The sequence below is a fragment of the Homo sapiens genome, chromosome 3 (genome assembly GCF_000001405.40).
Source record: "Homo sapiens chromosome 3, GRCh38.p14 Primary Assembly".
NCBI classification, from domain to species: Eukaryota; Metazoa; Chordata; class Mammalia; order Primates; family Hominidae; genus Homo; species Homo sapiens.
The window spans coordinates 46907976-46930154 of record NC_000003.12 but is presented as its reverse complement, the minus strand read 5'-3'; the positions used below and the strand labels follow the sequence as shown (position 1 = coordinate 46930154).

Below are 22179 nucleotides of genomic sequence, written 5' to 3'. Positions count from 1 at the left end.
GCCTGTAGTCCCAGCTATTCAGGAGGCTGAGACAGGAGGATTGCTTAAGCCCAGGAGATCAAGTCCAGCCTGAGCAACATAGGGAGACCCCCATCTCTTTTTTTTTTTTTTTTTTTTTTTTTTGAGATGGGGTCTTGCTGTTCTCGCCCAGGCTGGAGTGCAGTGGCACCATCTCGGCTCACTGCAACCTCTGCCTCCCAGGTTCAAGTGATTCTCCTGCCTCAGCCTCCTGAGTAGCTGGGATTACAGGCACCCGCCACCACATCTGGCTAATTTTTGTTTTTTTAGTAGAGATGGGGTTTCACCATGTTGGTTGGCCAGACTGTTCTTGAACTCCTGACCTCAGGTGATCCACCCGCCTCGGCCTCCCAAAGTGTTGGAATTACAGGTGTGAGCCACCATGCCCAGCCAAGACCCCCATCTCTTGAAAAAAAGTCAGTCCTAGAGATAACCACTGTCAACATTTTTGTTGTTTTTATTTCTTTTCTTTTAGCTAGAGCTAGTACCTTCTCCCCTTAGCAACTTCCTCATTCTAAAATGGGGGTGGCAGAACCATTGTTTGGCTCCAGTTGTCCTCAGAAAGGTGGCTTCCAGATGCCAGTGACTGCTGGTGAGTGCAGGCTGCTTCAGTATTTCCTGGCCAGCTGACAAGGTGTTAGGTGTTGGCCTGCCCTACTGCTCTGGCTGGCACCATCTCGTCACACCCTGCCCAGTCTCCAAGAGCTGTGGTGGCCCCGGACACTGTAAGGCTATGGGAGCTCCTAGGATAGCAGCCTGGACCTGCTTTGTGTGTGAACCTGTTGTCCTACTATTTGTTTCTTGACTTTCCTTTTTTATCTCCATTCTTGTCTCCTTTTGGATTTTTTTGTTTTTAATTATTCCACTTTCTTCCTCTGTTAACTTGTTAATTGTATGCTGTTTTCCCTTTCTTTTAGTGATTTCCACAGGCATAACAACATACATCCTTAACTTATCAAAGTCTAATAGAAAATAGTAGTATTTTTACCATTTCCTCTACAGTGCTTAGGACCTTAGAACACTTTAAGGCTATTTGCCACTCTGCCTTTTACACTATTGTTGCTATATTTTAAATACTATAAGTTGTTATTACTCTTTTATACAGTCAATATTCATTTAAATTCTCTTTTCCCCCTGCTTTTTTTTTGAGACAGGGTCTTGCTTTGTCACCTAGGCTGGAGTGCAGAGTGTGATCATAGCTCTCTGCAGCCTTGAACGCCTGGCTCAAGCAATCCTCTTGCCTTAGCCTCCGAAGTAGCTGGGATTACAGACACAAGCCATTGTATTTACCCTTTCTGAGGCATTTTATTTTTTCCCTGCAATTCCATGTTTCCGTCTGAGATCATTTTCCTCTAGCCTAAAGTATTCCTTTTAGTATTTCTTGAATAACGGATTCACTGATAACTGATTCTCCTAACCTTTCTTTGTCTGAAAAAGTCTTTCTCTTGAAGGCTTCTTAACTAGATTTAGAATTTTGTGTGACATTTATTTTGTCCACACTTCTGAGATACCATTTCATGGTCTTATGGTTTCCATAGTTGCAGTTGAGAAGTCAGTAGTCTGTTTTAGTTTCTGCTTAAACACACTTTTTTTTTTCTCTCCAGGCCCATGAGATTATATGAGGTTGGTGCAAAAGTAATTGTGGTTTCTGCCACTATGTTCAATGGCAAAAACCACAGTTATTTTTGCATCAACCTAATGGGAAGCTCTGCTCAGTCTCTCAGCTTTTCAGCTGCTGCATGTAAATAGACATGCTTTAAGGGGAAAGAGGGACGTGATGTCAGGCTCACTTTGTTGTACTTCCCTTATCTCCATGATTGCAGCCCCTGAAATCCTTGCTGTCTTGGTACTTCTCTAAAGCCATTTAAAATACATATATATACATTTTTTTTTTTTGAGACAGTCTGCAGCCTAGGCTGGAGTGCAGTGGTGCGATCTCAGCTCACTGCAACCTCTGCCTCCTCAGTTCAAGCGATTCTCCTGCTTCAGCCTCCTGAATAGCTGAGATTACAGGCATGTGGCACCATACCCACCTAATTTTTGTATTTTTAGTAGAGACCGGGTTTCGCCCTGTTGGCCAGGCTGGGCTCAAACTCCTGACCTAAAGTGATCCACCTGCTTTTATAAGGGAGGTTAAATCTTGGGCCTGTGTTGGAAAGGCCAGGTCCCCAAGCTGAACCCCCCCATGCTCCTTGACCTCTCCCAGAGACTCCTGTCCTTTGGTAGTGGTGGAATTCCGGGGGTGGGCAGTTAAGTGGGCATTAGGGAGGGGAAGTCTCTTAGCTCTCCACGCTAAGGGGACTGGAGGTCAGAGACTGCACCATTTTCACGCGATCACACAACAGTGGCTGCACATCAGATTAACCCTCCAAGAGTGAGTCTGGGGAGGGCGTGGACCCAGCTTGATAGAGCTGGATGCACCCAGCACAGCCGTAATGTTTCTAAATGTGGAAACTGAGGCCCAGAATGAGACCTTCCCATGGTGGTCGGGATCTAGATGTTCTTGGCTGCTTGGCCAGTGCTCCGCTCTGGGGGTGGCAGGGCACAGTGGGCGCAAGGCTCTGCTCCCGCCTCTTGCTTCTGGTTCACTCCTCCAGTTGGCCTTCTGAAGCCTCGGGCAGTGGGTGGGTCTGGAGGCATGGGTGCGTGTTGCTGCTGTGAGTTCTGGGTACAGTTCCCTGTGGCCTCTCCTCTCTCCTTCTGATTTCTCACAGAACCCTGGAGACCGTTTCTGAAAGCGACAGTTTTTTTTCTTACTAATCCCTGCAGTTTTCTTCCCACACCCAGTTTCTCTTCCTCATTTCTCCCCACCCTGTTGTGAACGAAAGCCTTTGCACCCAGTCATGCCCCACTTTGTCTCCCTGTACCTCTGTGACCTGACATGTACCTCCAGGCCCGAGGCAGGTGTTCAAGGATGGGGGACGGGGTGGGGTATCTCTGGGCCTTCTGGGAGTGCAGGTGGGCTTCCTCCACACAGGCTATGCTGGTACTGCCCCATCGCCCGCAGTGGTTCAGCCCAGCCCCAAGGCTCCAGGCTCAGGGGCCCTGGCAGGAAGGAAGGAGATGGTAAGTAAGCTGGGGGCAGGAAGCAGGTGGAGCCCTTAAATAGGAGAGTGAATAGCATCTGAAAGCCCCTGAGTCCAAAGCACTGCCGCTTGCTAGCTGTGTAGCCACAGACACCCCTGCCTCTGGGAAAGCTTGCTTTTGCAGGGCCTGAGGAAGTCAGCAGCACTTTTACCTGGTCCAGACAGAGGGCTTGGGAGATGGCAGACTGTGGGAGGCCTGTTGGGAAATTGTTTCCTGCCTTAGAGGCCCAGGACTTTTCTGAGGGACCACTGGTCAAGAACCGAAAGAGGTACTGGGGAAGGAGGAGGACCTGCGGCCTAGTCTCACCTGGCCAGCATCTGAGGGGCCACTCCTGCATCCCCTGGGGCTAGGGGTCTGTCCCACTGCCTCTGCCTTGCCTTTCTTAGACCCTGCAGCCCCCAGGACCTCTCGCCCTGCCGCCCTGTGGAGTTACCAGGGACACATTTTCCTGGGAGCCTGCTTCTGTGTGTGTGGGGCTAGGATTTGATGAGCCCCTGAGCCAGAGAGGACCCCAGTGAGTTCTTGGTTCAGCCACCCCTGCCTGAAAAGACTGAGGCAGGAAGAACATAAAAACATAGTAGCTAGCCGCAGCTCCTGCCGGGAGATTCTGGCCCCTTGTGGCTCCTCTCTCTTCATGGAGGCCTTTGGGGCTGTTCAGTTCTCACTGCTGTCCTGGTGGACTGTGGCCTTCCCAGCCTTGCACATGGTCATGCCTATTTTCACAGCCCTCACTGGCCACTCTCAACAGTCTTGGAGCTGAGTCAGCCTCTCGTGTGCTTTGTGCCTTGACCCTGTCCGCGTCATTGCAGGCCCAGGCGCCACCTCCTCCTGGAGTGTCTCCCCTCCACATTCCCACAGCTGTAGGCAGCCACGCCCCTCTGGAGCCCTCCAGCACCTGCTTCTCTGTCCACATGTCACTCCTCACTGCCACATGCCCCTGGCCCAGCACACCCAGATGCTTTTCTCTAAGTAGTTGAGGCGTATTCCATGGCATGAGCCCCAGGGCAGGAAGGCTCTGAAGAGGGGCCAGACTTGGGGAATTTGTGGGTGACCACTGGCCTTCTCTTTTGGGAATCACTCAGCCTAGGAGCTTTAGCCCTGGCTGGGAGTTATACATTGCCTTGAGCTAAGATGTGCAGCCACTGCTGTGTGATCCTATGAAAAGGGTACAGTCTCTCTGACCTCCAGTCCCCTTATCTGTCAAATGGGATGATCCAGGAGAGACACCCTGTGAATGCTCCCTAGGCGTCCTTGGCCCAGCTCTGGAAGAGAACCGTACTCCAACAGAGTAGACAGGGCCTCTGGAGGGCAGCCAGTCCCGCTAAGTGGCAGGGGACGGTGCCAAGGGGCCTGCCTGATGACACTCCATTCTGTGCTTCTCCTCCTTACCAGGCTATCTCCAGAGAGTGCAGAGGAAATTCAGGAATTCACGGGCTATGCAAATTGTATGAATGAATGAATGAGACCATGTCACACACTGACTTCATCTCTGCTTGTTCCCTCTATTCTTGCAGGGAACTTAGGCTGCGGAACTATGTCCCGGAGGATGAGGACCTGAAGAAGAGGAGGGTGCCCCAGGCCAAACCGGTTGCAGGTAAGCAAGCTGTCCCTCTCCACCTCTGCTTCCTGGCACTGTCAGCCACCCTCCACCTCAGCAGGCTTTGCTCTCTGAGAATAACCAGCAGTACCAGGACAGGAGTTGGGCCTGCAGGCAGGACCCTTTGTTACCATCTCATGGCAGATGCACACAGTCGGCCTTCGGCAGCAGCAGAGGCTGTCGGGGCACTGAAGAGTCCTCTTGTGCCTTCTCAGTCCTGCTCACACCCTGAGACCGAGGCCTCCCAGGGATCTGAGTGGGGTTTGAAAAAGGCCACATCCTCTCAGAGGACTCCTGGCTGAGAAGTGGATGTGGTCATGGGGCCCTTGGGCAGCAGGGCAGGGTGATGGGTCCTGTGGGCCCTGGGTGGGTCAGAGACAGGGGCCAGTCATTCAGCCACACACAGCAGTGGACGGGCAGTGTGGAGCACTGAGGCAGGGGAGAGGGCCTGGCCCAGGGCTTGCCTAGACTCTTGCCATGGCGTGGGAACAGCACAGCCACCAGGAGCTTCTGGCCGTCCACACCACTCATGCCAGGAAGTTTCTTAGTCCTGCGGATCCCTGGGCCCTTGCCCTGGAGGGTCCCCATTTTAATTCTTTATGTTTGTTATTTATTTTATTTTATTTTATTTTATTTTGAGATGGAGTCTCGCTCTGTCGCCTAGGCTGGAGTGCAGTGGCATAATCTCAGCTCACTGTAACCTCAGCCTCCTGAGTAGCTGGGATTACAGGTGTGTGCCACTGCGCCTGGCTAATTTTTGTGTTTTTAGTAGAGACAGGGTTTCACCATGTCGGCCAGGCTGGTCTTGAACTCCTCCTGACCTCAAGTGATCCACCCGCCTTGGCGTCCCAAAGTGCTGGGATTCCAGGTGTGAGCCACTGTGCCTTGCCTTGTTATCAACTTTTTTTGAATTGCATAAGTAACAAGTGAATAAATACATTTATCTTGGGAAAAAGTAAAGTGTTGCCCATTTGGCCACATCCCGGTCTGCTTCCCCACTTCCTTCATCCCTGAAATCCAGACACTTCCCCGTGATTTGCTTTGTAGTTTGGGCCCCACCTGGTAGGGTAATGGTGCACTGGGGGATAGTAGGCAGGACAGAGAGGTGAGGAACTGCCCAGGTCAGGGGAAGCCCTCAACTCTCATCTGTATCTGGAGGGAGGTGAGGCAGAGCAGGAGGGCACTCATGGGCCCACTGAATGCCAGGGGTTGGAGGAAGCCCACAGAGCCCAGAGTTGTTAGTGCTTCTGCCATTTGTCCCCAAGGGGCAGGACCCTCCTAGTCAGATTGCTCAGAGGCCCACTATGCTGGCAGTAGCTTGGAGGAGCTGGGAGGTGCCTGTGCCCTGGTCTTGGGAGCATACACCTGAGGTGGGATGGAGGAAAAGCCACCTGTGGCTCTGGCTAGGCCGGGACCCAGAGGACATCCTCAGAGCCCAGGAGCCCTGGGATTATGTGAGAAGCCAGTCCTCACTTTGTATGTATCCAGGCAGCTCTCTGGTCTTGTAGTTATTGTCAGCATCCATGCTTCCTGACTGACTGTGGCTGGCTGCCTCCTGCTGTCCCATTCTTGGCCTGTGGGGAATGCTTCATCCTGGGAAACCCAGGCCCCTCCTCCAGAGCTGCCTTTGCAGGGTCTTCACCTCTGGCTGGTTGCGGGCCACACAGAGGTGGGAGCAAGGAAGCCTGGGGTCCCGTCTCTCCCTGGGGGCCACGGTAGGCAGTGTCCCTGCAGAGTGGCAGCGCGTTTTCCACAGGCCTTCTCTGTTTAATTGCACCCTCTAGTGGAGGAGAAGGTGAAGGAGCAGCTGGAGGCCGCCAAGCCCGAGCCCGTCATCGAGGAGGTGGTGAGTGCCTGGACCACCCTGGCATCCTCGCTGCTTCTGTGTGTCCTGTTTCTCTTCGCCACTTGCTCTCCCTCTGCCCCCCATTCCTTCTCGTCACTTCTTTATTCCCTTCCCACCAGCCCCTTTGCTCTCGTCCCTCTCCTTCCTCCTCCTCTTTCTCCCATTTCCCTCCTTCTCGAGCCTGCCCTCCCCCTTGTCCTGGGGTGGCCCCTCCACCCTGATGTGTGTCTCCTCCCTTCCCAGGACCTGGCCAACCTCGCTCCTCGGAAGCCTGACTGGTGAGTGTTGCCCGTGCGTGGCGGGTGCAGGCTGACTCGGGGACTCTTGGTGCCAGCATGGGCCTGGGGCTTGGCCCTTCCTGCCGTCACAGTGCAGAGACTGGCAGTACAGACATAGAGTTACACGAGATAGCTACTGTTGGAAACCAGTGCTGAGGAGGACATAAGTGGTGGGATGAGAGGGGAGTGATGGAGTGGGGCTCAGGCGCGGGGAGCAGCAGGCCCCTCATGAAGGCCCTCCTGAGAGGTTGAGAGCCCATCTGCTCCAGAGCTCCCATTTGAGCAAGGCCAACCGCTGTCTTTGGGGGCCAGGAGTGGAGGGAAGGGCAGACACAGTTTTCTGTTCCTGTTCTACCACCATAGCTTGTTCCCTCTGGCCCTGGTTTCCTCCTCTGTGAAATGGAGGTCGTCATCCTTCTTGCTAGGCTGAGAGAGAGTGGGAGAGAGGGTGCTGTGGGCCGGGAGGCTTGTGTCTGTCTTCACCTTGAGCCGGAGGTAGAGCTATATCCCTCTCGCCTGATTCTTGGTCGAGTTAACACCAGCTGTTTTAATTTGATGAAACAAAAGCATGGGGCATATGTCCTGGGAAACCCAGAGCCAGAGAGAATGGGCTGAGTGCTTGTGCACTTCTGGGTGCCCACAGTGGAGGGGCTGGGCCGGTGGCTGGAGGAGGAGCAGGGCCCACAGTGGGCAGGAGCAAGTCACTCCCTGATGGTGACCAGAGGACCAGAGCAAGAGAGGGTCTCTGAGAAACCATCCACCTTTGCCTTAGCTCAGTCCCTTGTGTTGGGTGGGTTTGTGATGCTAGTCCCCCTGCCTCAGTGGGACAGGGAATGATGGTTTATGCTGGGTTTCGGAGGGTACAGAAGGGGAATGTCCTGGCCTCTTCCCCAGGGCAGCCCCCTCCAGCAACCGAGCATGACTCCTAATGCCAGAGGGCTGCAAGAGGGGAGGGGACCCAATGCCACATCAGGCCAGCCTTCACCTTCCTGCTTCTCCCTGCCTCCCTGCTCCAGGGACCTCAAGAGAGATGTGGCCAAGAAGCTGGAGAAACTAAAAAAGCGGACTCAGAGGGCCATTGCCGAGCTGATCCGTAAGTGCAGTGCCTGGGAAGGTGGGGTCCTGCCCACTGGGTGGTGGCCCAAGCACCGGGCCCCTCCCCACCCCTTCTGTCTGCCATCCATCCCAGGTGAAAGGCTGAAAGGCCAGGAAGACAGCCTAGCCTCTGCAGTGGATGCTGCCACCGAACAAAAGACCTGTGACTCCGACTGAGGCATGCCCTGCCCCACCACTCGCCCATCAGGCCTGTCCTGCAGAGGATGGTCTTGGGCAGGGATGGGGGCTAGGCTTGCCATCACCTCCAGTTTGGCTTCTGAGCAGAGACTCCCTGCCCATCAAGTCTGAAACCCCCATGGATGAGGTCAGCTCCTTGTCTGCTGGGTGGCCCCTGCCATTCTGAATGGAGGCAGAACCAGCAACAACTCTGGGCGTGCCTGTGTCTGCACATGTGGATGTACATATGTCTGTATATATGTATATATTTTGAACTTTCTAAAAAAAAATCTGGAAATAGAAACAAGTAAACCCCTGTGTGTGGCAGAAATGTGTCAGATATTTCCTAGGTCTGAGGGTGCAGTGGATTTGGGCTCCACAGGATGGAGACAGGGTGACTGCAGAGCTGGTACTTAATATGTATGAATAACCCCTGTGTTGGGCTGGGCATGTTGAGGCCGGAGGGGTGGGAAACACTCAGGGCTGCCTTCTGCGGCCAAGTCCTGGCCCAGTCCATGGTCAGTGCTGGTCATCTCAAGATCCTTGGGTGATAGAGACAGGGTCTGAGAAAGTCCTTTTAAGACCTCCCCCAGACCTAGGCCTTGTAGTAGTCTATGGAGTAGCTGGAGAGGCTCCCACCCTGGTCCTCTGGGGATCCTCAGTGTGAGAGAGACTGGGCCTTGGCAAGCCCCAACTCAGGGCCACTCCAGATTTGATGCCGCTGGCACTGCTTTCCCCACTCTCCCCAGCCCCAGGCGGCCTCTCTCCCTACTCCACCAGTCAGAGCTAGACTGTGGCTCCCCTAGGACAGAGACCCTGCATGGGAGGGGTGGCCCATTCTGCTAGAGATGGGGACGTTGTAGGCTGGGTTTCAGGTGTGGTTGTGGACCCTAGATCTCCAAGGTTCTGGCTTTAGGACATGAGCCTTCTCTGTGGAACTGACTCTCCAGAGTACCTGGCTGGCTGCATCATCTCTGACTGCAGTACCGGTGGCCAGCTGGACTTGCATCTCCTCCAGGATGCTTACACCCTTGAGTTTCCTTTGGGATTTCTCCTTGAGCCTTCTGCCTCTGCCCTAAGCCATCTAGTGTGTTCTTCCTCTCCGCAGTATTCCAGAAACACAATGGCCCATCTCTGGCGGACAGTGCCAAGCACTCTGGTCATAGAGGCAGAGTGGGTTTGTGCACACAGAGACCAGCACGCTCACAACCAATGAAAAACCCTTTAAGTTAAAATTATGCAACTATTCTTGGAAGGTAATTCCTGTGTGGAAAAGAAACAGAAACTTCTAGCTGTGGGTGAGGGCTAAAGTGGTAGCTGGCCACCTTCTGCATTGAGTAGTAAGACAAGACCAAGACCCTGACTCCCACATGGGGCAGAAACCCTTCCAGTATTTCCTAGGTCCAGGGGTACATGCAGGACTGGAGCCAGGCTCCGTCTGTCCAGTTGGTAAAACTGGAGCTGGGCTTTTTTTCCTATGAACAAAAGGGTGAAAAGACTCCCTGCGTCTCCTGGGATTGCAGCTGGAAACAGGATCCGTGTCTGTAGCAGTTGAAGGACTTGGATACCTGGTGACTGGCAACTAAGCTGCCACTCAGCATCAGCTCTGGGACTAGAGTAGGGTTATCCCCCAGTACGACAGTCCCAGAGCTAATGAAAGATGTGCTTCTGGTTTCATGACCCTGGGTGTTGTCCTAGAAGGAAAAACAAAGTACCATGCATCATGAGTACTCAAACAAAATTTACAAAATACACGAGAAAATCCAATGCCTTAAAGAATGACCAGTAACCCAGGTGGGAGGATTTATACCCAAGGAAACTGAAATAGTAACAGCCTACAAGGTTTTAAAAATGAGCATTTGTTTTTACATCAGAGAGATAAAAGAGCGTGTGGTATCCTTAAGAACAGAGATTAGACATAAGAAAGAACTGATTAGAAATTTTGGAAAGAAAGAATACAGCTCTTAAAATAAACTCACCAGAGAGCTAAGTATTAACTTACAGTCCAAGAAAGGATTAGTAAATTGGAAGTTAAAGCTGAGACGGTCATGAGAAGGTGGCAGTGAGAGATAAAGAGGGCGAGATGGAGGGTAGCTTGAGAACCTTGTTATACTGATACCTGTCCTATAGATGACAGGAGTTCCAAGAAAAGGAAACCAGAGAAAGAAGGTACCTGAAGAAAGAATGGCCAACCACTTCTTTTTTTTTCCGAGACAAAGTCTCACTCTGTCGCCCAGGCTGGAGTGCAGTGGCACCATCTAGACTCACTGCAACCTCTGTCTCCCGGGTTCAAGTGATTCTCCTGCCTCAGCCACCCAGGTCGCTGGGATTATAGATGCGTGCCACCACGCCCAGCTAATTTTTGTATTTTTACTAGAGATGGGGTTTCACCATGTTGGCCAAGCTGGTCTCAAACTCCTGACTTCAGGCGATCCGTCTGCCTCAGCCTCCCAGAGTGCTGGGATTACAGGCATGAGCCACTGCACCCAGCCGGCCAGCCACTTCTGTTTCTAGTTTCATGGTGGAATAGTTACCTGATCTGATCCTCTCTATGCAAACAGCTAAAAATACTAGGTAAATAAAGAATAGCAACAAATATTTTAAAAATACAGCAATGAGCTGGCAAGAAAATAAGGAATACTTTGGCAGAATGTAAAAGAGGTAGCAGAATGCCAAAGTCTGACCTTTGCCTTGAGGGTATTTGACAAACCAGGTGAAACTGAACATTGTTTTTTGGGGTTCTCGATGCGTGGGCTCAAGACAAACCAAAACCTTTGCAAAATGAGGGCCCTAATAGAACTCTCTGTAAAGCTGGGGCCCCAAAGGGTGACACCCTCTGTGAACTAATAGCAAATCTGCCCTCCTGGCATCCCATACAAAAGTTAAACCTTGCCACTTACTGGACTGAAAAAAAGGTCTTCCTTGAGAACTGAGCCAACCTTCATGTGGGTTTTTGTACATGAGAATCCAAGAATTTAAGTGGTCCCACTGGTCCCAGAATGTTGGAAGTCTCAAACACTTGATAGAAGAAAATGTAGATCCTACCTGGACAAAGCTTTATTCATATCAGCTCTCAAAGAATTCTCCCTGATAAAGTTTCAAGACATATGAGAATCTTAGGGCCTACTCAGTGACCCTGGATGGACAATGACCCTCAAGGATCATCCCCAAACATGACCTGGGCCACTTCATGATGTACTGCCTCACCGCTGCTGAGTATGATGGGCACAGCACCTGTCCCTCCCCACAGTGCGACTAGGAGTCTGGCCCCATGTAGGACGATAGCTTGCTGGGAAATGAGCATCAAAGGAAGGGAGCAATACATTTTGAGCCAAGAGCTTTAAGTTATTTTTAAAATAGAAAAGAGAAACGAACAGGTTGCAGAAAAGCTCATCAGACACACAAGGTAACAGAGCCTCAGGTGCAAAATAACCAACATCGAAAATCACATGGTAGAACCAGACTTATGAAGACTTCAGACATCAGAATTATCAGCCATGGAATTTAGGTATGTTTAAAAATTACTTAAGAACTAAAAGATGTGAACATAGGAGCAGATTTGCAAAAGAACCAAACCAGTATTCTGGAAATAAAAAATACAGTAGTCTGGCCCCCACCCCTGGCATCTCCAATTTCCCTTTCTGTGGTTTCAGCTACCTGTGGTCAACCATGTCCGAAACTATCACATGCAATAAGATACTTTGAGAGAGACCACATTCACATAACTTTTATTACTGTGTATTGTTATAATTGTTTTCTCATTAGTTATTGTTAATTTGTTACTGTGCCTAATTTATAAATTAAACTTTATCATAGGTATGTATGTAAAGGGGAAACACAGCATATATAGGGTTCAGTACTCGCCACCATTTCGGGCATCCACTGGGGTTGGAGGTCTTGGAACATCCCCCCATAGATAAGGAGTGACTATATAGCACTATAGTGTATTATGGCAATTAAAAACCTTGTATCTGTGAATTAGACAAAGGTGAAGAGACAATTAGTGAATGGGAAGCTAGATCTGAAGTTTTCCAAAATGCAGCCCAGCAAGATAAACAGTGATAATGTAAAGCAAGTGGCTGAGAGACATGGAGAGTAGAATGAAGAGATCCAACGTAAAGTGACGGAGTTCCAGGTGGGAAAAAAAAAAAATGAAAATGAGGCAGAAGCAATATTTAAAAACTGGCTGAGAACTTTCCAGAAAAAATCACCAATTCACAGATTCAAGAAGACCAGTAAGTCTCAGGCAGGTTAATAGGAAGAACTATACATCCAAATGTTCTGTTTCTTCATCTGGGTGATGATTAGGTATTTTTACTTTATGAATATTCATTGAACTGTATACATGTTTTATGCCCTTTTTGTATGTTTATTCTAAGTAAGCAAATTTACTTAAAAAAATTCTACACTTTTTATTAATCATCAGTTGCTACACATAAATTACCCAAAACTCGGGGGCTTAAAATAACAAACACTTATTACCTCAGTTTCTGTGGGCCAGGAATCAGGAGTGGCTTAGCTGGGTAAGTCTAGCTTGGGGTCAGTTGTGAAGCTGCACTCATCTGAAGGCTGGACTGGGGCTGGAGGATCTGTTTCCAAGATGACTCATGGGGCTGTTGATTGGTGGCCCCTGTGTCTTGCCACATGGACCTCTCCATCGGCCTGTGTGTTCTCAAGACATGGCAGGTGGCTTTCCCAGAGTGGCAGTCTAAGAAAGAAGGCAGGAGGGAGCGTTGTGGGGCTTTCTTATGATCTGGGCTTGGAAGTGATATTCTGCTACATTCTGTTTGTTAGAAGCAAGTCACTACGCCCAGTCGACACTTAGAAGAATTAGCTTCCACTTCCTGAAGGGAGGACTGTGTAAGAATTTGTGGACTTATTTAAAAACTACCACATACCTAATCACATTGTAATAACATTAAAGAGCACAAAGACCAAGAAAATACCTTAAAATCAGAGAGAAAGGACATACTACCTTTTGAGGAGCAACATAGCAGCAGATATCTCAGCTATAACCAGTGTAAACAGGAATGAAAGAAAGTTGTCATCCTAGAATTGCATACTCAGGGAAAATATGAGACGTGTTTTTTGTTTTTTTGCAGAGATGGGGTCTCACTATTTTGCCCAGGCTGATCTTGAACTCCTGAACTCAAGTGATCTGCCCACCTTGGCCTCCCAAAGTGCTGGGATTACAGGCCTGAGCCACCGCACCTGGCCTAAGATGTTTTTAGACCAACGAAGTCAGGGATTCTGTCACCAGCAGACTCTCACTAAATGAAAATCTATTTTGGGGTAATGAAAATGTTCTAAAAGTGATTGTGGTTGCACAAATCTGTGAATATGCTGAATATGCCAAGAGCCATTGAATTGTACACTTTAATGGGTGGGCTGTATATGTATAAAGTTGTTTTTTAAAAATGAAATAAGCATTCTCCTTTTAAAAAAATCATAAAGGATATTTTCAGACTGAGGGGCACAATCCCAGATGGAAAGTCCAGAGAAAGGAAGTATAAATGTAAATAAGCACTGACCTTGTAAAACAAAAATGTGTTGTGGGGTAAAGCAGGGGCTATTTAGAATACATAACAACAATGGTATGTAAGTTCAGAGGTAGGAGGTGGTTGGGGTTACAGTCCTTGAAGACGCTCACTTAGGAAGAGGGATAAGACTAGGAAACAGGCCTCTTGACATTTCTGGGGTAACCTGAAAAGAGTAGAAACAGAGTGTACCACTTTCAGAGGAGATGAGAGAGGAAAAAAAAAAAAAAAAACCAGAATGGGAAAAAAGTAACTATCCAAAAGAAAGCAGAGAGAAAAGGTGGATTGAGTAGTTGAATCCAGATATATCAGTAATAGCAAGGTATTAGACTGCTTTTCTTTCTTTTTTTTTTTCCTTTAAACTCAGTTTGCTGAGTTTAAAAAAACCTGAAGCCGACTGGGTGCAGTGGCTCATGCCTGTAATCCCAGCACTTGAGAAGGCTGAATTTGCTCGAGTCTCAGGCAGATTGCTTGAGCCCAGGAGTTCAAGACCAGTCTGGGCAAAATGGTGAAACTCCGTCTTCTACAAAAATAAAAAATAAAAAAATTAGCCAGGCGGGGTGGTGCCTGCCTGTAGTCGCAGCTACTTGGGAGGCTGAGGTGGGAGATCATGTGAGCCTGGGAGTTCTGAGCGACAGAGTGAGACCCTGCCTCATAAATTAATAGAAACAAAGATTAATGGGACTAGAAAAGCTCTATCAAGCACAGGATCAACAAAAGAAAGTGGAGGTGGCAGGAGTGAGGCCAGGCAAGGGAGACTTTCAGAAGTGTCATTAGCTACACCACTGTACTGTGGAGCAGTGGGACCTCTCACCCACAGCCATAAGAGTGTGAAATGTGTAACCACGTTGGGAAAGTTGAACATGTGCACGCTGGGACCCATCAGTTGCGCTCTTAGTGCACTAGAAAACTTGCACATGTACACCAGGAGACAGGGACAGAAATGCTTGTAGAAGCATTGTTTGTAATAGCACGGGCACATGTGTGCACACACACACTAAATCAAAGCCAGAATGTGGTAATAATAAGTTGTCATTCTGAAAGTGTGATGTTCCATAGCTGTGAGAAGAGCTACAGTCATGTGCAACAAATGGATAGATGTTGAAAGAAGCAAGTCACGGAAGAAATAGAGTATGAGCCATTTGTGTGACGTTCCAAACAGGCGGAGTGAGACAATGTAAGGACACACGCAGGTGGTAAGGCCAGGGCAGAAGAGCAAGGTGGTGATCGTCAACTTCAGGCTTGTAGTTAGCTCTGGAGTGGGGCCCTTTGAGATAATGGCAAAGTGTTTTTCTTGGCTTGAGTGATGGGAATTTATTCTCTATATGTATTTATTTTTATACAACTTGCTGTATATGCTGTATTTCAACACACAGGCTTATTTTTTTTTCTATCTATCTATCTATCTATCTATCTATCTATCTATCTATCTATCTATCATCTATCTATCTTTATTTAGAGATGGATTCTCTGTCACCCAGGCTGGAGTGCAGTGGCACGATCTCAGCTCACTGCAACCTTCGCCTCCCGGGCTCAAGCAGCTCTCCAACCTCAGCCTCTCAAGTAGCTGGGACTGTGGCTGTGTGCTACCGTGCCTAATTTTTTTTTTTTTTTTGTGATGAAGTCTTGCTCTGTCGGCACGCTGGAGTGCAGTGGTGCGGTCTTGGCTCACTGCAACCTCCGCCTCCTGGGTTCAAGAGATTCTCCTGCCTCAGACTCCTGAGTAGCTGGGACTATGGGCACACGCCACCATGCCCAGCTAATTTTTGTATTTTTAGTAGAGAGGGGGTTTCATCATGTTGCCCAGGATGGTCTGTATCTCTTGACCTCGTGATCCGCCCGCCTCGGCCTCCCAAAGTGCTGGGATTACAGGCGTGAGCCCGCGCCATTTTTTAAATATTTTTAGTAGAGACAGGGTTTCACCATTTTGGCCAGGCTGGTCTCAAACTGACCTCAAGCGATCCTCCCGCCTCACCCTCCCAAAGTGCTCAGATTATAGGCATGAGCCACCGTGCCCAGCCTATTTTTTCTTTTTTTTTAAGAGCAGTTTTACTACATCTGCAGTTTGACTCCAGTGTTCTAGATGAGAACATCGAAGCTAAAGGGAAAAAATAACAACAGGCTACATGTAAAAATTTTAAGAGATTACCTACAAAGGAATTAGTTTCGCTTTTCATCAACAATAGATACCAGAAGACAGTTTTCCTAAGTGCTCAGGAAACAAATGTCAAGTCTGCTCAGTTACCATAAGTAGGGGCATGACAGACGTTTCCAAGCTTATGACACTAAGTGTTTACCATGTACTGATCTTTGCTGAAAGAACTAAAGGATGGGATGCTGAGCAAAAACCAGTCCGGGAGCGGGGAGTGGATATGGGAATCGGGACTGTTTGGCAGTCACCCACGACTGGGCTTAAGCAAGAAGGGGTTTTATTGTCTTGTGTTAAGTCCAAGGTGGTACCATGGCTCCCTGAGGCCACCAGGGATGTGAGTCCCTTCTGTCTCCCCAGTTGCCATCCTCATCTCCTCATGGGAGCTTCTGCCCCATCACAGATTCGAGGTACCGTTAGGAGGAGAAGGGCGAAGGGCAGGCCAGCTGAGGAAACCCTGGCTCCAACCCTGTCCACAGACCTGTCTTCACTTCGCATTGGCCATGACTGTGTCAGCAGCCGTGAAGGCACCGGATATGGGTGTTTTAAGCTGGGCACTTTGCCAATGAATTGAGACTGTCTGAGGAAGGTAGAAGATCCTGGGAATGCAGCCAGCAGTGAGCTACAGGGTGCAGGGAAGAGTGGTGTGCAAAGAGACTGGCAAACGCTGGAAAGACGGATACCATTGATGAGCCTCTAGGAAGACTGACAGAAAAGAGAAGTCAAATTACGAATATCAGCAATGAAATAAGGGCATCATACTCCACAGACATCAGAAGGACAGGAAGAGGACACTGTCAATAACTGTACCCACATCAATTCCACAGGTTGTTCAAAGGGGCCAGTTTTTTGAAAAGCACAAATACCACACCTCAGCCAAGATGAAATAGATAATTTAAATAGCTCTATAACTATTAAGGAAATTGAATTTATTATTTTAAAGCCTTGAAAAACCTCCAAGCCCAGGTGTTTCAATGGAGTATTGATAGGTTTAATGTAACTATTACCAAAAGCCCAGTTATTTTTTTTCTGGATATAAAGATTATTCTAAAATGTATATGGAAAGGCAAAGGAACTGGAATAGCTGAACAATTTTTAACTAGAAGAAAAAAGCGTAAGGAATACTACTCATTTCACTACCTATTGTGGGCTTACTTTACAGTAATAGCAGTCAAGATTGTGGTGTTGGTGGAAAAAGAGGCAGATCAACAAGACAATACACAAGCACAGCCAACTTTTTTTTTTTTGTTTGTTTGTTTGTTTGAGACACAGGGCACAGGGTCTTGCTCTACTCTACCCAGGTTGGAGTGCAGTGGGGAGATCTCAGCTCTCTGCAGCCTCAACCTCCCGGACTCAAGCGATCCTCCCACCTCAGCCTCCTGAGTAGCTGGGACTACAGGTGTGTACCATCACACCTGGCTACTTTTTGTATTTTCGGTAGAGATGGGGTTTCGCCTTGTTGCCCAGGCTGACCAACTGATTTTTGACAAAGGTGCAAAACAAATTGATTGGAGGAAGGACAGTCTTCAACAAATGGTGCTGGAGCAAAGGGAAATTCATAGGCAAAAAAGCAAACAAAAAAACCCAAGCCTGAACCTCAGATCTTATACAAAATTAACTCAAACTGTACTGTGGACTTAAATGTAAAATGTAAAACTATGCAATTTTAGAAGTAAACGAGAAAACCTTCAGGACCTACAGCTCAGTCAAGAGTTCTTGGACCTGAGATCAAAAGCACAATCCATAAAGAAAAAAATTGATAAATTTGACTTAAAAGTTTTTGCTCCAACGAAGACCCTGTTAAGAGAATGAAAAGCTACAAACAAAATATTTGCAAATCAAATAAAGAAGGACTTATATCAAGAATACATAAAGAACTCCCAAACTCAACGGTAAGACAAAACAAAACAAACAAAAAAACAATTAGAAAGTGGGCAAAAGACATAAAGAAATATTTCACTGAAGAGGATATACAGATGGTAAAGATGTTCAACATTACGAGCCATTACGGATATACCAGTAAAGATCACAATATCTTTTTTTTTTTGAGACGGAGTCTCGCTCTGTCGCCCAGGCTGGAGTGCAATGGCGCGATCTCGGCTCACTGCAAGCTCCGCCTCCTGGTTCACGCCATTCTCCTGGTTCACGCCATTCTCCTGCCTCAGCCTCCTGAGTAGCTGGGACTACAGCCGCCTGCCACCACGCCCGGCTAATTTTTTGTATTTTTAGTAGAGATGGGGTTTCACCGTTAGCCAGGATGGTCTCGATCTCCTGACCTCGTGATCCACCTGCCTTGGTCTCCCAAAGTGCTGGGATTACAGGCGTAAGCCACCGCGCCTGGCCCACAATATCTTTACACACGTATTCGAACAAATAAAAATAGTGATAAACGCTGACAAGAAAGTGGAAAAATTGAATCTCATACATTGTAGGTGGGAATGTATAATGGAACACCCACTCTGGAAAATAGTTTGTCCATTTCTTTAAAAACTTTACGTACACTTATCATATAGCCCAGTAGTCATGCTCCTGGGCATTTATCCCAGAGAAATAAAAACGAATGTTTACACAAAAATGCATATACAGATGTTCATAGCAGCTTTATTTGTAGGTTGCCAAAGGCTAGGGAAAAGGTCTTGTCAATAGGGGACAGGTTAAGCTCGGGTTCATCCGTACCATGGAATGCAACTCAGCAATAAAACAGGACCAAGGACTGACACCTGCCACAGCTTGGATGGATCTCAAGGGCATTATGGTGAGTGAAAACAGTAGGTATCAAATGGTCACATACTGTATGGTTCCACTTCTGTAACATTCTGACAGTGACAGAATTATAGAGATGGGGAACAGATTAGTGGTTGCCAGGGGTTAGCGATGGTGGGGACAGGTGACTCTAAAGGGGGTGGCTCCAAGGAGATCTCTGGAATGGTTGTGATGGAATACCTCTGTGTATCTTGATTGTGGTGGTGGTTACCTGTATCTATGCACCCGATGAAATGGAATAGAACTATACACACTGCACCAATGTCAGATTCCTGGTTTCGATATTGTACTGCAGCTATGGAAAATGTAACCAGGTGGAAACTGGGTGAATGTTACACAGGACTTCTCTGTACTTTTAAACTTCCTATCGGCTGGGTGCAGTGGCTCATGCCTGTAATCCCAGCAATTTACGAGGCTGAGGTGGGCGGATCACCTGAGGTCGGAAGTTCAAGACCAGCCCGGCCCACATGGTGAAACCCCATCTCTACTAAAAAAAACAAAAATTAGCTGGACATGGTGGCGCACGCCTGTAATCCCAGCTAGTTGGGAGGCTGAGGCCCGAGAATCACTTTAATCCTGATGGCAGAGGTTGCAGTGAGCCGAGATCGTGCCCCTGCACTCCAGCCTGGGCAACAGAGTAAGACTCTGTATAAAAACAAAAACAAAAACAAAAACAAAAACAAAACTTCCTATGAATCCGTATTTCAAAATAAAAAGGTTTAAAAAATACAGGTGGTGAGCAAAGAAACTGGTAAAACATGTTACTAAAATGTGTGTTTCTTTAAAGTATGCTTTCTCCATTTAAAACAAACATTCTGGGGTGTGGACTACAGTCTTCATCCAGGTGAGGATAGTTCAGAGTTAGTCTCAGTGATTCATAGTCCCCTGAAAATTTGGTAAAGAAAAAAAAAGTCTCAGCCCTAGCCTTGGTTGGAGGGCTAGGTGGGGAGGGTGCCCTGAGGCCCTGGCAGCCCCTTTGTCGTAAGCCCTTCAGGCTTAAGATGGGCCAGCGAGGGCCAGGGGCCAGTGTCCAGCACTGTGGATGGAGCCCTGGTGTGCCTGCCACTGCCTGGTCCATCACTGCCCAGGCACTTCTCCAGGACAGCCCTGACCAACCTCGCAGTGTTCAGGTCCCTTCATCTTGGGGTTCTCTAGGACACCCAGCCTCTTCATCTTGGGAGAGGTGTCAGGCCTGGGATATTTTCCACAGCAGCACGGATGCTCCTTCCCTAGAAGAGGACAGGAGACCAGAGACCCAGGCGCAGGGCCTCTCGGTTCTGACTCTTGCTGGGGAGGCAGCAAGAGGGCTGGGAGGAAGTCCCACCTGGGCTTGCAGAGTCAGGGACCAGGCAGGTCACCAGCCAGGACAGGGCCTTGTAACCACAGTGAGGAACTATGGGCTTGGGATCAGAGATAGGCACAACCCCTGAAGTCACAAGGGAAAACTACTGTCCAGCCTCAAGCCCAAGCCCCTCACTGCCTTGGAGGCTTCAACATGTGAGATGCCCGCTCACCTTCAGGCGGCCTCTCCATGGGGCTCTGAGCTGGGCCCAGGGCTTGCTACAGCGCTGCCCACCCCCAGGAGCCTGGGGAGTGGGCCATTAGTGTAGCATGCTTCCCGAGGACCCATGTCATGCTGGGCACTGTATCCGGGGATGCAGCTGTGACTGACGATGGTTCTGCCTTCGAGGAGCTGACCTTCCAGGTGGTCTCCAGATCTGTGCTGGGATCCAAGCCCCTTCCCTCAGACCAGTTGAAAGGCCTTGCTTCCCCATAACTGTCTGGCTGGGAACCACGTGGGGCCCTCAGAGTCCACTCAGACGCGGATGAGCAACTCCATGCAGCTGTTGACTTTTATTTCCCCATGTCCTCCCATGGCCACTGGGGGGCAGCAGGAGATCCCCGATGGGGTCCCTGACAGGGCGCGTTGGTCCAAACAGCTCCTGCCAGCAGCGGGTCTTCTGTAAAGCAGGTCACCCCACCGCATGACGCACGCCTATCCTTTCCTGTGGGGTTTATGTCATTTGTAAGTGACTGCTCATCAGAGACGATCCAGAGAGTGGGGTCCAGTCAGCCTGAGACCCAGAACAGCAGGGGCCGTGTCCTGGCAGATGAGGTTCCAAGGCACTGCCGGGTGTGTGAGGTCCGGGTGGGGTATCGAGTGCCCGCCCAGCCCTGCCAGGTCAGCACAGCCTCTCCCCTCCTTGAACTGTGGGTGCGTCTGCATGTGCAGAGGGTGTGTGTGGGCAGAATGCCTGTAGCCTGGCTGGGAAAGGGCACCCCTGGAGGGTCAGGTCCTCTTGGCCCCTGGGCCAGGCCTGAGCTGGCATCCCCTGAATCTCCTGAACATCTGCTGCTCGGAGCCAAGGAAGCTCTCAAGATGCCCAGTGTTGACCCAGGGACCATCCATCCAGGTGGTGGGGGCATGCATGGGTAGCAGTGGGCACCCCACAGAGTGAGGGGGTGCTGTCGCATGCTGGAGCTCCTTTCTCCCTGGGCTCAGGCCTGCCCCCAGGGGCTCTGGCAGCTGTGGGCTGGGCAGGGGTGTCTGGGCTGAGTTTCCCAGCCAGCCTGCCCCTTCTGTATCTATTTACTGGTTTTCTTTAAATGTTCCCATTACTCAGGACTCCAGTGGGCACTGAGACAGAAATAAATCCCGCAAGGCGGCCCAGCCAGAAGCCGGGAATCCAATTCCCCCTCAAAGACCGGAAGAGGCCCCTGGGCAGAGCATGCCAGTCCGCTGTGGCCCACACACTCCACACAGCCACAAATATGGCCACTCCCCTGCACACACACGTGCACATCCATGCCTTTACACACGTGTTCCCCCACGCAGACTCTTCACACACGCACGCGCACATGCAGGCATTCACACGCACCGCACACACTCAGGTTTGCCTCATACACAGAGTTGCTTTGCACATGCACACACACATTCACACACATGCACACACACCCCACTCATGCACGTATTCCCTGACAGCCAGGCTCACACGTAGTTGTGACCACACACTGGGTTCACAAACTCAGCCATCCTCAAGACACTGCTGGGCGAGACAAGTGGGCGAGGCTATGGAGGGTGCACGGAGGAGGGCAGCCCTGCACAGTTCGGGAGGAGCGTGGCCTCAGGGGAACGCAGGCCCAGGGCTGCCAGGGCTTCTGAATTTTTAAGAGAAGTTGGAAAGCTGAATTTTTATGTGAAATATCCTGATTTTTAAATGTTGGCTCAGGATGTTGAAAATACTGTAGGTGCCAAACCAAACATGTCTATGAGCCAAATTCCACCCACAGGCGGCGTTCTTAGACCACGAGTCCACACACACACAAATAGACACACACACACAGAGACATACACACATAAACACACAGACACATACAAATAGACACACATACACACGTAGAGACATACACAAATAGACACACACAGAGAGACATACACAAATACACAGACACACACAAATAGACACACACAGAGACATACACACAAATAGACACATACAAATAGACACACACAAATACACATAGACAACAAATACACATGCAAATAGACATACACACACATAAATACACACACAGACATACACAAATAGACATATACAGACACACATATTTACACAAATACACAAATACAC

General features: G+C 49.2%; 1 protein-coding gene and 1 pseudogene across 3 annotated transcripts in view, besides 4 other annotated features; both read left to right on the top strand.

The window, feature by feature from the left end:
• CCDC12 (coiled-coil domain containing 12) overlaps window positions 1-8425 on the top strand; it is a 60265-nt gene extending 51840 nt beyond the window's left edge. For all 3 annotated transcript variants that reach the window (NR_102269.2, NM_144716.6, NM_001277074.2), the window contains 5 exons: window positions 4620-4699; window positions 6487-6548; window positions 6792-6826; window positions 7843-7919; window positions 8016-8425. Coding sequence is in view for 2 of the 3 variants with exons in the window: in NM_144716.6 (NP_653317.2) it covers window positions 4620-4699; window positions 6487-6548; window positions 6792-6826; window positions 7843-7919; window positions 8016-8098 (337 nt within the window). In the remaining variant the exon portion in view is untranslated. The remainder of the gene's footprint in view (window positions 1-4619; window positions 4700-6486; window positions 6549-6791; window positions 6827-7842; window positions 7920-8015) is intronic.
• Window positions 2550-2929: an enhancer, noted in NCBI's record as "active region_19800". NCBI's record gives its function as "activates an Ori minimal core promoter by ATAC-STARR-seq in GM12878 lymphoblastoid cells {active_cell/tissue: GM12878}" and the evidence as "EXISTENCE:reporter gene assay evidence [ECO:0000049][PMID:35858748]".
• Window positions 5019-5520: an enhancer, noted in NCBI's record as "H3K4me1 hESC enhancer chr3:46966125-46966626 (GRCh37/hg19 assembly coordinates)". NCBI's record gives its function as "activates a minimal SCP1, AML or CMV promoter by ChIP-STARR-seq in naive H9 embryonic stem cells {active_cell/tissue: H9 hESC(naive)}" and the evidence as "EXISTENCE:reporter gene assay evidence [ECO:0000049][PMID:30033119]".
• Window positions 11220-11348, top strand: BLVRBP1 (BLVRB pseudogene 1; annotated as a pseudogene).
• Window positions 20242-20536: an enhancer, noted in NCBI's record as "tiled region #5172; HepG2 Activating DNase unmatched - State 8:EnhW, and K562 Activating DNase matched - State 8:EnhW". NCBI's record gives its function as "activates a minimal TATA promoter and a strong SV40 promoter by Sharpr-MPRA in HepG2 and K562 cells {active_cell/tissue: HepG2 | K562}" and the evidence as "EXISTENCE:reporter gene assay evidence [ECO:0000049][PMID:27701403]".
• Window positions 20521-21096: an enhancer, noted in NCBI's record as "H3K4me1 hESC enhancer chr3:46950549-46951124 (GRCh37/hg19 assembly coordinates)". NCBI's record gives its function as "activates a minimal SCP1, AML or CMV promoter by ChIP-STARR-seq in primed H9 embryonic stem cells {active_cell/tissue: H9 hESC(primed)}" and the evidence as "EXISTENCE:reporter gene assay evidence [ECO:0000049][PMID:30033119]".